This window comes from Homo sapiens, chromosome 4 (genome assembly GCF_000001405.40).
Source record: "Homo sapiens chromosome 4, GRCh38.p14 Primary Assembly".
NCBI lineage: Eukaryota > Metazoa > Chordata > Mammalia > Primates > Hominidae > Homo > Homo sapiens.
The window spans coordinates 187,529,915-187,543,610 of NC_000004.12; the positions used below are offsets into that span (position 1 = coordinate 187,529,915).

Here is a 13,696-nt window from a genome sequence, read left to right on the forward strand (position 1 = left end):
AGTAAACACTATAGCTGCATATAAATCTTTGGAACTGTTCTTATTGACCTTTCATCTGTCTTTGCTGATATCTCCAAATTGACACTACTTGCCATGGTCTCTAAATTGTATAAATGCAATTTGGCTTGAATGAGCATGGGAAATCCCCACCAAGTTGCAAGTTAGGGAAATGTGTCAAAATATTTCATAAGTAAAAGGACTATGAAAGCTGGTCCACTGAGGGATCCTAATGGAGCTCCGGCCAACCTCCTCCCCAGTAAGATGGCCAGGGCAGTGTGCCCACAGGACTCCAAGTGTTCTGAAGTGCCTGCAGTATATCTGGGGGTGTCTGGCTTCCTTTTGTATTGAGAAGTGACATTTTGCATTATGGGATGAGTAAATCGAGCCTCACCATAGTTTGGATCAGCCTATCTGAAGTAATCAGTGTCCTTATGCTACGAGTACATAAAGATGATCAGTGCAGCCCAGCTATTCCATTGTGCCTCAACATGTCATTCTGTTCAGAGCAGAGTCTCTCTAGAAGCTCAGCCTGTCTGGCTGTCACTACAGCTCGGCCCATTGGGAGATGTACATGAAGCATGAACACCCACATCTTCACCCAGTTGAAATGCATCCAAATGGAGGCCATTTTCTAGGCCAGGGGTTGTCAGCTCCCTGGGTGGCAAACCGGTACACATAGCAGGAGGTGAGCAGGAATAAGGAAGCATTCCTGCCTGAACTCTGCCTCCTGTCAGATTGGAGGTGGGATTACATTCTCATAGGAGCGCGAACCCTATTGTGAACTGTGCATGTGAGGGACCTAGGCTGTGTGTTCCTTATGAGAATCAAATGCCTGATGATCTGAGTGAAATAGTTTCATCCTGAAACCATCCTCCACCCCCTTCATGGAAAAATTGTCTTTCACAAAACTGGTCCCTGGAGCCAAAAGGTTGGGGACCAATGGTCTAGGTGACATCAAAGTGAGACAGTGGGAACCACTGTCTCAGCAACAGCCCTCTGACTTGTGGATGCTTCCAAAGAGCCTTCACTTTGTGTAAAGGGTCATCTTCCCTTCCCTTTCCCCACATGGCCTCTACTCCTGCCCTGCAAATCCTATCTATGATGGTCCATGACCTGGGAAGATGGGAGAGGGAACCCCAGGAGAGATCCCCACTATCCAACTCCAAGGACGTCTGACGTTTGTGGAACACTAAGATTATGAAAGAGAAACAACACTGCAGTGAGGACCGCTGATTCTGGGGCAAATAAAAATAATGAAGTGAGAAATGAAGAACCTTGAACAATTCTAATTCCTTAAGAGATGTGAGAACATACATTACCATAAAATAGGTAGAGGTTGCAATGAGGAAGGACTCATCAGAGACTAAGAAACAACTCTTGGAAATTAAAATAAGGCTGTCAGGTAACTACCCATGAAGCTGAATTCCACACTAGTCAGCTGGAAAAAAAAATTTTTTTTAAAGTACAGAAAATTTCACAGAATACAAAATAAAAAGGCAAACAGATAATATGAAACAAACGGTAAGAGAAATGGAGGCTAGACCCAGATGGTCCAATAAATATCTAATACAGGTGTTTGAAGGACAGACCTGTGGCAGCTGAAGAGCCTTTCTTCTCCAATAATTAAAACATAAGTCCTGGGATTCAGTCTCACTGGACTAACTTGAATTGTAACCCTATCCTTGAAGCAATTACTGTACCAGAAATATGGAGAAAACATGAAAGTGATATATTGATTTTCAAATGTTAAGATGGCTTAAAGACAGAACAAATACGTAAAAATTTATGGATCTGAATGCAAATGTTATCAGTCTTGCCTATGTAAATATAAAGTTGCAGTTTACATAAGATGAGAAAAAGAACTACATAAGATATGTGTAGAGAATAGGTTCCTAAAATTGAAGCTTCAAGTGATGCTTAAAATTGTCAAAAACAGAAAACCATTTATGTACCTTATTTAAAGGTACTATAATATTAACTGAAGAACTAAAATAACTTTCCTTAATTTAAGAAGAGGGACTGTCAAGCTAAATCCCTCCTCTTATGTAGAAGAGAATCAACAGTTAGTACCTAAAGCTGATAAACTGAAGAAGTATGTTATTTACAATTACAGTAGGGAACACCAGCAGAATTTAAAAGAGAAATTATTACAAGTTCTCTCTGGAGAGTTGGATTTGGTTTCAAAATGGATTGAGGGGATTCTATTAGCTTTTATTTCATACCCTTCTCTATTTTTAAAAAAACAATTTGCATGTAGTCAGCCCTCTGTATCTGTGGGCTCCACATCCATGGATTCAACCAACCGTGGACAGAAAATATTCAGAGGGAAAAAAATTGAATCTGTACCGAATATGTACAGATGTTTTTCCTTCTTGTTATTTCCTAAACGACACAGCATAACAACTATTTATGTAGCATTTACATTGTATTAGGTATTATAAGTAATCTAGAAATAAAGTATAAAAAGGGTGTGCATGGGTTATATGCAAATATTACACCATTTTCTATATCAGGGACTTGAGCATCCCAGGATTTTGGTGTCCCTAGGTGTCCTGGAACCAGTCCTCCATGGATACCTAGGGACAATTGTATTATTTTGTGATACAAATGTGTGCATAAATACATGAGTAAAATATGTAATTATAAAGCTAGAAAACTTTAGATTATCTTAGAATAGTATCTGTAAACATTTAAATGATATTACTATGTATATACATAAAACATTGCGTGAGCTTGGGAAATATACATATTTTTGCACTTGTAAGAACTGTTAAGAGGTGGAAAATATTTTTCTATTCTAGCAGTTGACAGTTTCTTTCTGTAAAGGGCCAGACAGTAAATATTTAGGGCTTCGTGATCATAAGGAACAATTCAGGGCATTATGTATGTACATATATAACCAGGGAAAAAAATCCCACAATTTGTATTGTCAAAATTTAGAATATGATAAAAATTGACTATGATTTTGTCATAATACAAATTTACTAATGAGAAGAACAAAAACCTTTTTTGAGGGGAAAGGTGATAATATTTTGTTTAGTTGCGGTTCAAAGTGAGTGTTCTCTCTTGTCAACCCAGTTTTAACATTCATCTGTAAAGACAGACTCATTTGTGGGCCGTAAAAAAAAACACACGTGCTGGACCGGATTTTGTTCATGGGCTACATGTAGTTCGCCGACTGCCGCTCTATTTAGTCTGCTCCCATTTAGCTGGAATCCAGACTTAGGATTTCTCAGCTCTCTGTTGTGAATCGCCAGGTTTCTTCTCAGTTTGTTGCAGAATCAATACTCTGTTAAACAAAATAAAAACTGAGTTACTATAAAAATGAAATTTAAAAAAAAAGCAGACATACAAAATATAGCCCCCAACATTTAATTATTAGAATTAATAAACAAAATTATCCTGCTAAATTACTACAAAAGTTTCTGAACACTTACATTTTCAATTTCCATATTTATATAGTGGCAAAAAGATAATAAAGAGCTTTGCAGCCTGATCCCAAATAGTTCCTTCATCTTTTTGGACTTTTAAAAAATATATTTTCTAACTGCATTGTAGTATAATTTCTAACATATATGGCATTGCCAAAACTTGGAATGTGCTTTTCTGCATCATTAGTGACTTCTGACTTCTCCGATTGGAACACACGTATGTTTGTTTCCTTTGCAGGCCTAATTGGCAAGACTGCAGATACCCTAGAGGAATTGAGGAAAGGTGGATAAAGCAACTGATTGCTTTTTTTCAGGACCCTTTAGTCTATTTCCTTTGTGAATTCGTTCATTTGGAGGACAACCTTAGAATGAGCATTAGTTACCAGATTGAGCCATCAACTATCTTCCGAGAGACAAACTATAATTTCCTGAATTTATTACCCAATATTTTATACCACTTGTCTTGCAGTATTTTGCTGTTATAAGATGCATTTATTACTGATGATTTCCATCTACTAAGGCGTAAGTCAAACCAGCATTCCATTTTGTCACTCTTCTGCATTTCATATTTAGCCAACTTAGAGTTCGATGGAATAGAAATACGCTCTATCGAAATTACTCAATTACTGTATTCAAAAGTTTCCACAAATGCTGTAGGTACTAAGAGAATATTTATGTAAATTCACATTTTCCAACCATGCTCATCTATGTTAGTTTAAAATGCAAGAGTTAAATTTTTCATTTTGTGGTGATACTATTCCCAAGTGCATTATGTTCATTGCTTTGAAGAAGCATCTATTACATCTTAAAACACACTTGCCATCATTTTCTTTCTTTGTAAGAATGAAAACACTTTAGAGCTACAGCAGACTCTTAATTAACTTAAGAAAAAGATGAAAAAAAAAGCCTTGCTTCCTTTCTCTGTCTCTGTCAGGCTGCAGGAGGACTACATTCTTGAGTAGGAAATGAAAGATTTACGACATTTTTGAGACTACAATTTTTAATGAGATGCACATTCCTTTTCTCATGTAAGCCTTGTCTCAGGGGGTCTCGGAGCAGAGAGGGAAGGGTTTTTTTGTCTGCGTCTCCTGATGGTCCTCACTGGATACGTTTTGTGGAGTGTTCTTCTGTTTAAGAATTATTTTCTTTCATATCGTTTTCCCCATTAAACACATATCTTATGGCATATTTGTTTTGTGCCATACAAAGGAAACGAAAACGCTAAGTCCTGTTTATAGCAACCGTTTACCTGAGTATCTGGAATCTATACAGTGCACGATTTTCTCCAAATTACTTGTATGTTTCTATTCTTTAAAATAAAGAATAAGGTAATTATAAAACAGTATTCTGATGTGTAACTTCCAAGATCCTAATTTCTCTCATACATATTGCTACTAATGGCCTGACAAAAAAGAAAATATACTTCATATACTTTTCTTTACTTCAGTCGCATTAAACCTAAACTGTGTAAAATTGATCCTTCTTGAATACAGAGTTGGAGCTCAACCATTGTTGTATGTTCTCATGTCACTGTTAGAAAAACAAAAAGGTGCTTTTAAGATCAAAGAACAACACAAACCCAGAATACACAGTCATGGTTTGAAAACATAGTTTTAGAAATGCACATTTTGATCTTAAAAGATCAATGAAGGAAAGGGTTTGTGTACTAGACTCTGCCACAAATGAGTACCTATATTTTGCATGTGACATGCTGAATGTAATCATATCAACACTAGTGAATGAATATCAGGGTATGCCACAAACAACAGCTCATTCTGATTAACTGGCTCATATGCTGTTTTCAGTCTTCCTCTTGGGAGAAAAGTATCTCATATCAACAAAGTTGATGTTTCTACAACTAATGTAATTCCAAGCTACTCTACATAGCCTAACATAGAGCAACCATGAGGTTTTAAAGCATTTTTCTTATAGAATATTAGGACTCACAAATACACTTCTAAATCTGCTTCAAAATACCTTGAGTTCTTATCAACACTGACACTAAGTTATCCCAGGTATCCATATTATAAATAAGCAGATAAGAATAATTTCATATTTTTGCAATAAAAGGATGCTATGTAGCTCATACTGCATAAAATTTTCAAAAATATAAATTTTTGGCTCCACGGCCTTCATTTCAAGCATCTTCTAAATGTGTGCCATTTCTGCAATCAGGGAGATGGCGGCTGGACAGCAATCTGAAGGTGCTGATTAGAGGTGTTCAGGGATGAACCCAATCAAAACAGTTAAGGGCAGGAACCTGCCAGTTCCAGGGAGTTTCACACTGAATGGAAAATACTGAGTAATCAGAATTTCAAGCAGTGGCCAATGACACAGAAAACTCATAAACATTCTAAAATAAAAATGTTGCAGGAATGCCACCTAAAGTTTTAAAAATCTTTAACAATAATAATAATAGTTAACATAGATGAAGTGCTTACTATGTGCGAGGGACTCTTCTAAACATTTTTACATCATTTGATTCTTACAGCATTTCTGTAAGTATATTATTATCCCCATTTTAAAATGGGGAAATAAAAACACAAAGAAGTCAATATCTTGCCCAAGATTACACAGCACAGAAATTCTGTAAATAAGATTTTAACTCTGATAGTTTGGTCTAGAGCCTGGGCTCTTAACCACTAGGTATAATGGTAAGCAAACATTGGTGAAAAAAAAGTCCTTATCTAAAACTATGAAAATTAATGTTAACATCATCACCACCACCATCATTTAAATATTGGATATGCTTGGGTTTAAAGCACAATTTAGTTCTGCTACTTAGGAGCTCCATCGTTAACATGTTTCTTAACCTCTGTAAAATGGTACAATAGCTGTCTTTCAGGGTTACTGCGAGATTGTTATGAATGTATGTAAACCACCGACACAACCTCCTGGCACATCGCAGTTGCTCCAAAAGGGGTATTTTTATTATAAGTATGATAACGGAAGTGATACATGCATGCTGCTTACATTAACTGCTTACCAGATGATTAAGCAGATATGTCTGAATATGAATACAAAATATAAATCCCACACCAGCAAACGTCTCAATAAAACATTTCAAAAAATGTATTGGGTCATGAAAATGAACTTCCTAGATGTAGTGTTTTACGGTTGTGTATCACATACGTATAACTTAGGGCATAAGGAGAAGTCTCGGCCCAGACTTCACAGCCTCAGTTTTGAAAAAAGGGTGTCCATGGTAGGTGTTTGATACGTGCTTGGGGCTGATGTTTATGCTGAGTTTCAATGATCATTCTCCCACATTAACGGGTTTGGCTGAAAATATCAATATGCAAGTAGCAGATGTGTATAGCAACTCAAAATGTTTATATAGCATGAAACTCATCTATGCAAGACAGAGACTTTGCTGGTATACTCTCCAAAGCTTGAAAGTAGAGGCCATTTAGCCGTAAGGCAACGGTCCCAATCTGCTGGTCCCTAACACCACCCCTTAAGGGTTCCCCCAACCTACAGTCGCACCAAGTACTATTTGCAAACTAATCACAAGCTGCTATTCTGATTAATAGACTACAAATTAACTCGGATGGATTGTTAAGGTCATAGTAGCATGTGTGTGTGTGTGTGTGTGTGTGTACAGAAGATTTTCTTTCTCTGGGGTAAATGCCCAAGAATGTGACTGCCGAGTCATAGGGTAAGTGCATTTTTAAAGATTTAAAATGAAATATACTTGATTTTTAGAGCAGTTTTAGAGCAAGTGAAGAAAGTGCATATATACCCTCTCCCTCCACACATGCACAGCTTCCCCCACTACCAACGTCCTGAACCAGAGCAGAACATGTTAGAATCCACGAACCTACTTGGACACACCATTATTCCCCAAAGTGTCTGTGGTATACATTAAGGTTCGCTCTTGGTGTTGTATATTCTACAGGTTTTGACAAATGTATAAAGATACATACTCACCATTTTAGTACCATCCAGCAATTTTCATTGCCCTAAACATCTACTGTGTTCTGTCTCCTCATCCCTCCCTTCTACCCCAATTCATGGCACTCACTGATCTTTTTCTGCCTTTTTCAGAAGATCATATAGTTGCAATCACACAGTATGTAGCCTTTTCAGAGTGGCTTCTTTCACTAAATAATATTTATTTCAGGATCCTCCATGTTTGTCTTCCTTGATAGTTCAGTTCCCTTTGTTGAGGAATATGAGTCCATTGTCCAAAGTGGCACAGTTTTTTTATATAGTCACCTGCTGAGGGGCATCTTGCTTGCTTCCAAGTTTGGGCAATTATGAATAAAGCTGCTGTAAGCATCACGTTTTGGTTTTTGTGTGGATGTAAGTTTTAACGCATTTGGTTAACTATCAAAGAGTGCAATTGCTGAATCCTATGATAAGAGGATGTTTAATTTTTAAAGAAACTGCCAAACTGTCTTCCAAAGTGGGCGTAGCATGTTGCCTTCCCACCAGCAATGAATGCGAATTCCTGTTGCTCCTCAGCAGCATCTGGTGTTCATATTGTAGACTTTGGCCATCTTAATAAGTGTGTAGTGATATTTCATTGCTGTTTGACCACAGTAGCTTTTCATCATGATATAGTATCTCAGTAAAAACACAGAAAAAGTATAATTACTTTATCATAAGGGGAAACTCAAAATTTTGTTGGAAAGAGGGACTCTCATATTCAAAGAGGTAAGGGATCACTAAGTAAAAGGATCCTGATGAGAAAATTGTACATTTCAAAGTACTTGTGCAAAAATGTCCCCTTTTACTTTCTGGCCACACACCATTCCTTTACCTGAAACTCTGGTGCAGCCTCCCAGTTCATGCTGTGCCTCCTATTTCTTCCCAATTTTATATTCCCTCAAAGCACATAAGGGAAAATTTCTCTTTCTCTTTCTCAAGAGAAATTCTCTAAAACTGTGCTCCATGAGATCCTGGTATTATGCAAGATGTCGTTAAAGGCTCTATGAAACAAAGTTCCATCTGTTTAATATAACTCGTTACACTTCTCCTTCTCTCCATGCATGGAGATACACAATATTTAATGGCCCATTAAAGGGTTTGAGAAGTATTAGAATTAAAACAATTAATAAAGTAGCATTCCAAACTATATTCACATGTCAGGGGCCCCATGGGTAGGCGGTGGAGGAGAGAGATTCAGCAGAATTTTTTTTCAGGCAGCACCATAATTACCTAGAAAACATCATGATTAGAAGAAGTCATGTGTCTAAGACTGTCCTTTCTGAAACAAGGGAGCAATTTCTACTTTAAAGATTTTTAAAGGGTGAGAGTGGCTGGGCACAGTGGCTCAGGCTTTTAATCCCAACACTTTGGGAGGCTGAAGTGAGCAGATCACCTGAGGTCAGGAGTTCAAGACCAGCTTGGTCAACATGGTGAAACCCCCTCTCTACAAAAAATACAAAAATTAGCCAGGCGTGGTGGCAGGCACCTGTAATCCCCGCTGCTCGGGAGGCTGAGGTGGGACAATCACTTGAACCTGGGAGGCAGAGGTTGCAGTGAGCTGAGATCACACCATTGTACTCCAGCCTGGGTGATAAAGCAAGACTCCATCTCAAAATAAATAAAATTAAAAATAAATAAATAATTAAAACTGTGAGAGAAAATATAGTGGAGATATGGATAAAGAAGTCAGAGGAGTATGCAGCACATCACCCTTCCTTAGACCATCAGTAAAAGTCTGCAAGATGAGGAAAGTGGATGGTACTGGATTTCCTATATAAAACAGTGACGGACGGACCAGCACACAAGGTGGCCACATGGACAAGGGATAGTCTGCATGGACAAGGCACAGAAGGCCGTTGTGGGCCCTGGACTCCTGTCAATGAGATCACTCAGCTCTCCCTACCAGCCAGAATTCTGCCCACTCGAGTTAACCCAAGAAGCTCAACTCCAGATACCTGAAACCCTTTAGAACATCATATGATAAGATGTAAACAGTGTACCCTCTCATTTCTGATGGCTTAAACTAACTATGCATTCATTAGGTATAACTATAAATTCATTAGCTTTTTCCACTTAAACCTGGCCAGGCCACATGGAATCTTTGATCTTGAGCCATACTTTTCTCCAGACAGAGACTGATAAATGACTTTTTCTGGTAGTTAGAACTGAATCTTTATTCATTGTTTCAGTATCTTCACTCTTTTATGCTCCTTTATAAAATACTATAAGAAAAATAGACATCTTCATTAAATAGAATTCTTTAAAAATTGCCTTTCATGGTATTTGCTAAATTTTATTTGCTTATAATAGATGATGCTCAACACAAGGCCAGCTGTTGATGGTGTGTTATTACGTAAAACTTGTAAACAAGGAAGCAAGGAAGTAAACTGTTTGGTCCATAGGCATGGGTCCACAGAATATCTACCCCAGAATCAACACAAGTGGGTTCTCAACATGCTGATTCCTAAGGCTGCCCTGGACCTATTAATCCTGAGGACCTGGGACGTGGCCAAGCAATCTGAAAGTTAATGGTCTCTGAACCACTGGGTTGGATCTTCATAGACAGCAAACCTGGCCCAAAGAATTACTCAGAGTACAAAGAGAACACAAAAGGATGAAGAAAAAGTAGTTGGAATTTTGCAATTTAGGGGCTGTAAGGGGCCTTAAAAGATCATCTAGCTCAACCCTATGTCTTTATAGTAGAGAAAAATATGTTATTTAACCCAGATCACCAAGTTGAATCAGTTGACATTCTTTCCCATCTAAAATGTCGTTAGTCTAGAAATTGAAGAAATGAAGAAAATCTGAAAGAATGGAAAAGGAAAGAAACATATATCTGGAAGAAGTCAACTAACCAGTTTCAGAGAAATGTTCTAATTGTTCAAGATGTACTCAACTTGAATCTGTGATCTTTTCTAAAGACATTTTTTTAACCTTAAGATTTGCTTTTCAGTATTAGTATTGCTTGAGACAATAGAAGCTAAATATTTGTGGAAATCTACATCATGAACAGGTACTCGCTTGGGCAGCAAATTACAGAGTAAGTAATCATTTTCTAATTTCAAGGTTCCTATTCTTTTAGTCATTTAAAATTCAGACTTCAAGCCAATCTATGAATGCCAGGTTTCTGTTAATTACAAACAATTCATCTTAATTAGCCTGAAAGATGGTTCTAACAAGAAATAAATTATTGAGCACAAAAAGCAAGTTTTATGACATGTTTAATGTTCATTTCAAATCCCTTTCAAAACAAATAGCAGTGGAGAACGTGGAGGGTTAGAAAGATAACTTTTGTTGCTGGATTGATTTCAAATCTTCCCTGGCTGCTTGCAGGTGTAGCACTGTTCACTTGAAAATTTATTGTAACAGATCACAATCATTACAATCATGATGGTAATCAATGTTCATTAAAGATACAATGAAAATTCCATGATTAAAGGCCATTTGTTTCATCACAATAAGATCATTTATTTATTATTGGGTAAATTGTTACAAATTGCATATGTTTGGGGCAGTTGAAACAGGGAACATGAATTTGGGGATTGAGGCCGTGAGTGCCTTTTACTTGGTGAAATTCTGACAATTCAAAGAGAAGACTGCATGTGGCCCGTGAAAGAAAGACAGGCTGTGCTTTTACTCACCACAATTCTACACTGTGATCTGATGGTCATTATTCCTCCCAACTCGGCTCTTCATTTTTCTAAATTAGACAATGCTGAACATATCCTGGTGCCTTTGCGCTGTGTTATAAATGGTTTTAAGCAGCATGGAAGTTGCACTGTTCTTTATTTAATTCCATCAGCACTCTTAGCTAGTCTACTATGTAAAAAGAGAGTTGAAGACATTATATGGGCTTCTTCTCTTTATTTTTGTTTTCGTTTTAAAACCAAAGCAAACATCTCAGATCAATTCAAAAGGAATGAGCAGGAAACCCTCACCAAGATGGAAAGTGCTAACATTTCACATGAAAAGAAGTTTTTTCCCTGAATTATGCTCCCTGTTTAACCATCTAACTCAGATTAACACTATCTTACTTGACAGCCACCAGCAAGATTCACCTACCCCTGCCATTCAAATTCCAAACAGTCAGTACAAACAAATTTTTTTTAAAGACGAATTCAACTGTTCTAGTGTAAAGCTGTTTTGGGCTCATCTGCAGGCCAAACACATTGGCTCAGAGAAACCTGTTTGCTGTCAGACAAAGGCTGTTGCTGTCATTAAGAGTTGTTCTTAGAGGGTGGCCAATCAGACACGGTGAGTCAGGTGGTCCCAAGGAAAGAGAAAGAAAATGCCACCCACCCACTCTGCGAAGGCTCCACTGGAAAGGTTCCATATGATCTGGCTGTCATTGCCCTTGAATTAGGGCTACGGGAACAATTTGCCTTACGATTCACTGAGCAGGAAAGGGTCCTCGTGTTCCCTTGTGTACAGAGGGTGCACATTTCCCTAAACTCTCCTACTTGGAAGATGGACAATTGCCGAGGAATACTAAATATGGCCAGCAAATTTTGTCCCCAAGAAATCTGAGTGATCTCTGAGGTCAGGCAAGAATGTGATAGCAATTTAGAATTGGGCGGGGTAGACAATTAAAATTAGTCATGAGGAAACATGCAAAAAACTTTTGCCTTCTCTGACTTCCGATCCCACGAAGCTGACTTCATGTTGCTAAATATTCCGATTACAAGTGAAAAACTCAGACATATGAAAATTCTGTTTATGAGAACCAAAATCTACAAAGAACACATTTTTCCCCAAGACACTAAATTTATGAGGTCTCAAGTTTATTAGTCAGTCCTTAGTTCCTATTTGAGGTTCCTATTTTGAGCCCTCAACAAGAGCTAAGAGGTTATGCCTTGATTAAGAATCAATCAGAACTGGAGTTTTACTCAATGATATACTTAACTCCTTACTTAACCTGACTTAGCACAATTAATTATATAAGCCACAATTTCCTACTCCTTAAAATGAAAGAAATAGTAATATCTGTGCCATGGAAATAGTAATAGAATTAAATGATACGATGTATGGACACATCCTATATGGCACATGCTTAACAATCAATGAAAGCTACTTACAACAACAACAAACAAACAAACAAACAAACAAAAAACCTAGGGCCAGGCACAGTGACTCACACCTGTAATTCAAGCACTTTGGAAGGCCAAGATAGAAGGATTGCTGGAGGCCAGGGTTTCCGTGAGCTACGATCGCACTGCTACACTCCAAAGATCTCTTTTTAGCCTAGGAGTTAATAATTAATTTCATCATTATTTATTGTTCTATTTGATGTAACCACATACAGAAACTGGAAAACAGAAAAAAGAAGATTTTCTTAGACACACAGACCGATGGAACAGAAAAGAGAACTCAGAAATAAGACTGCACACCTACAACCATCTGATCTTCGACAAACCTGACAAAAAAAAAAAGCAATGGGAAAAGGGCTCCCTATATAATAAATGGTGCTGGGAGAGCTGGCTAGCCATATGCAGAAAATTGAAACTGGAACCCTTCCTTACGACATACACAAAAATTAACTCAAGATGAATTAAAGACTTAAATGTAAAACCCAAAACAATAAAAACCCTAGAATAAAATCTAGGCAATACCATTCAGGACATAGAGGTATGGGGAAAGATTTCATGAAGAAAATACCAAAAGCAATTGCAACAAAAGCAAAAATTGACAAATGGGATCTAATTAAACTAAAAAGCTTCTGCACAGCAAAAGAAACTGTCATCAGAGTGAAGAGACAACCTACAGAATGGGAGAAAATTTTTTGCAATCTATCCATCTGACAAAGGTCTAATATCAAGAGTCTACAAGGAACTTAACAAATTTACAAGAAAAAAATAAATATCCCCATTAAAAAGTGGGCAAAGGACATGAACAGTCACTTCTCAATAGAAGACATACATGTGGCCAACAAACATGAAAAAAAGCTCAACATCACTGATCATCAAGGAAAAACCACGATGAGATAACATCTCACGCCCGTCAGAATGAGTGGCATTATTATTAAAAAGTCAAAAAACAACAGATTCTGGCAAGGTTGTGGAGAAAAAGGGATGCTTTTACACTGTAAATGGGAGTGCAAATATTTCAACCATTGTGGAAGACAGTGTGGCAATTCCTCAAAGACCTGGAGGTGGAAATACCATTTGACTCAGCAATCCTACTACTGGATATATACTCAAAGGGATATAAATCATTCTATTATAAAGATACATGCACATGTATGTTCACTGCAGCACTATTCACAATAGCAAAGACGTGGAATCAACCTAAATGTCCATCAGTGATAGACAAGATAAAGAAAATATGGCACACAT

The 13,696-nt window shown here is 37.5% G+C and overlaps 1 long non-coding RNA gene across 1 annotated transcript in view; it reads right to left on the reverse strand.

The window, feature by feature from the left end:
• Positions 1–2,963: 2,963 nt before the first annotated feature.
• LINC02492 (long intergenic non-protein coding RNA 2492) overlaps positions 2,964–13,696 on the reverse strand; it is a 139,764-nt gene continuing 129,031 nt past the window's right edge. The window contains exon 3 of the long non-coding RNA NR_110436.1: positions 2,964–3,289. This is a non-coding gene — a long non-coding RNA (long intergenic non-protein coding RNA 2492). The remainder of the gene's footprint in view (positions 3,290–13,696) is intronic.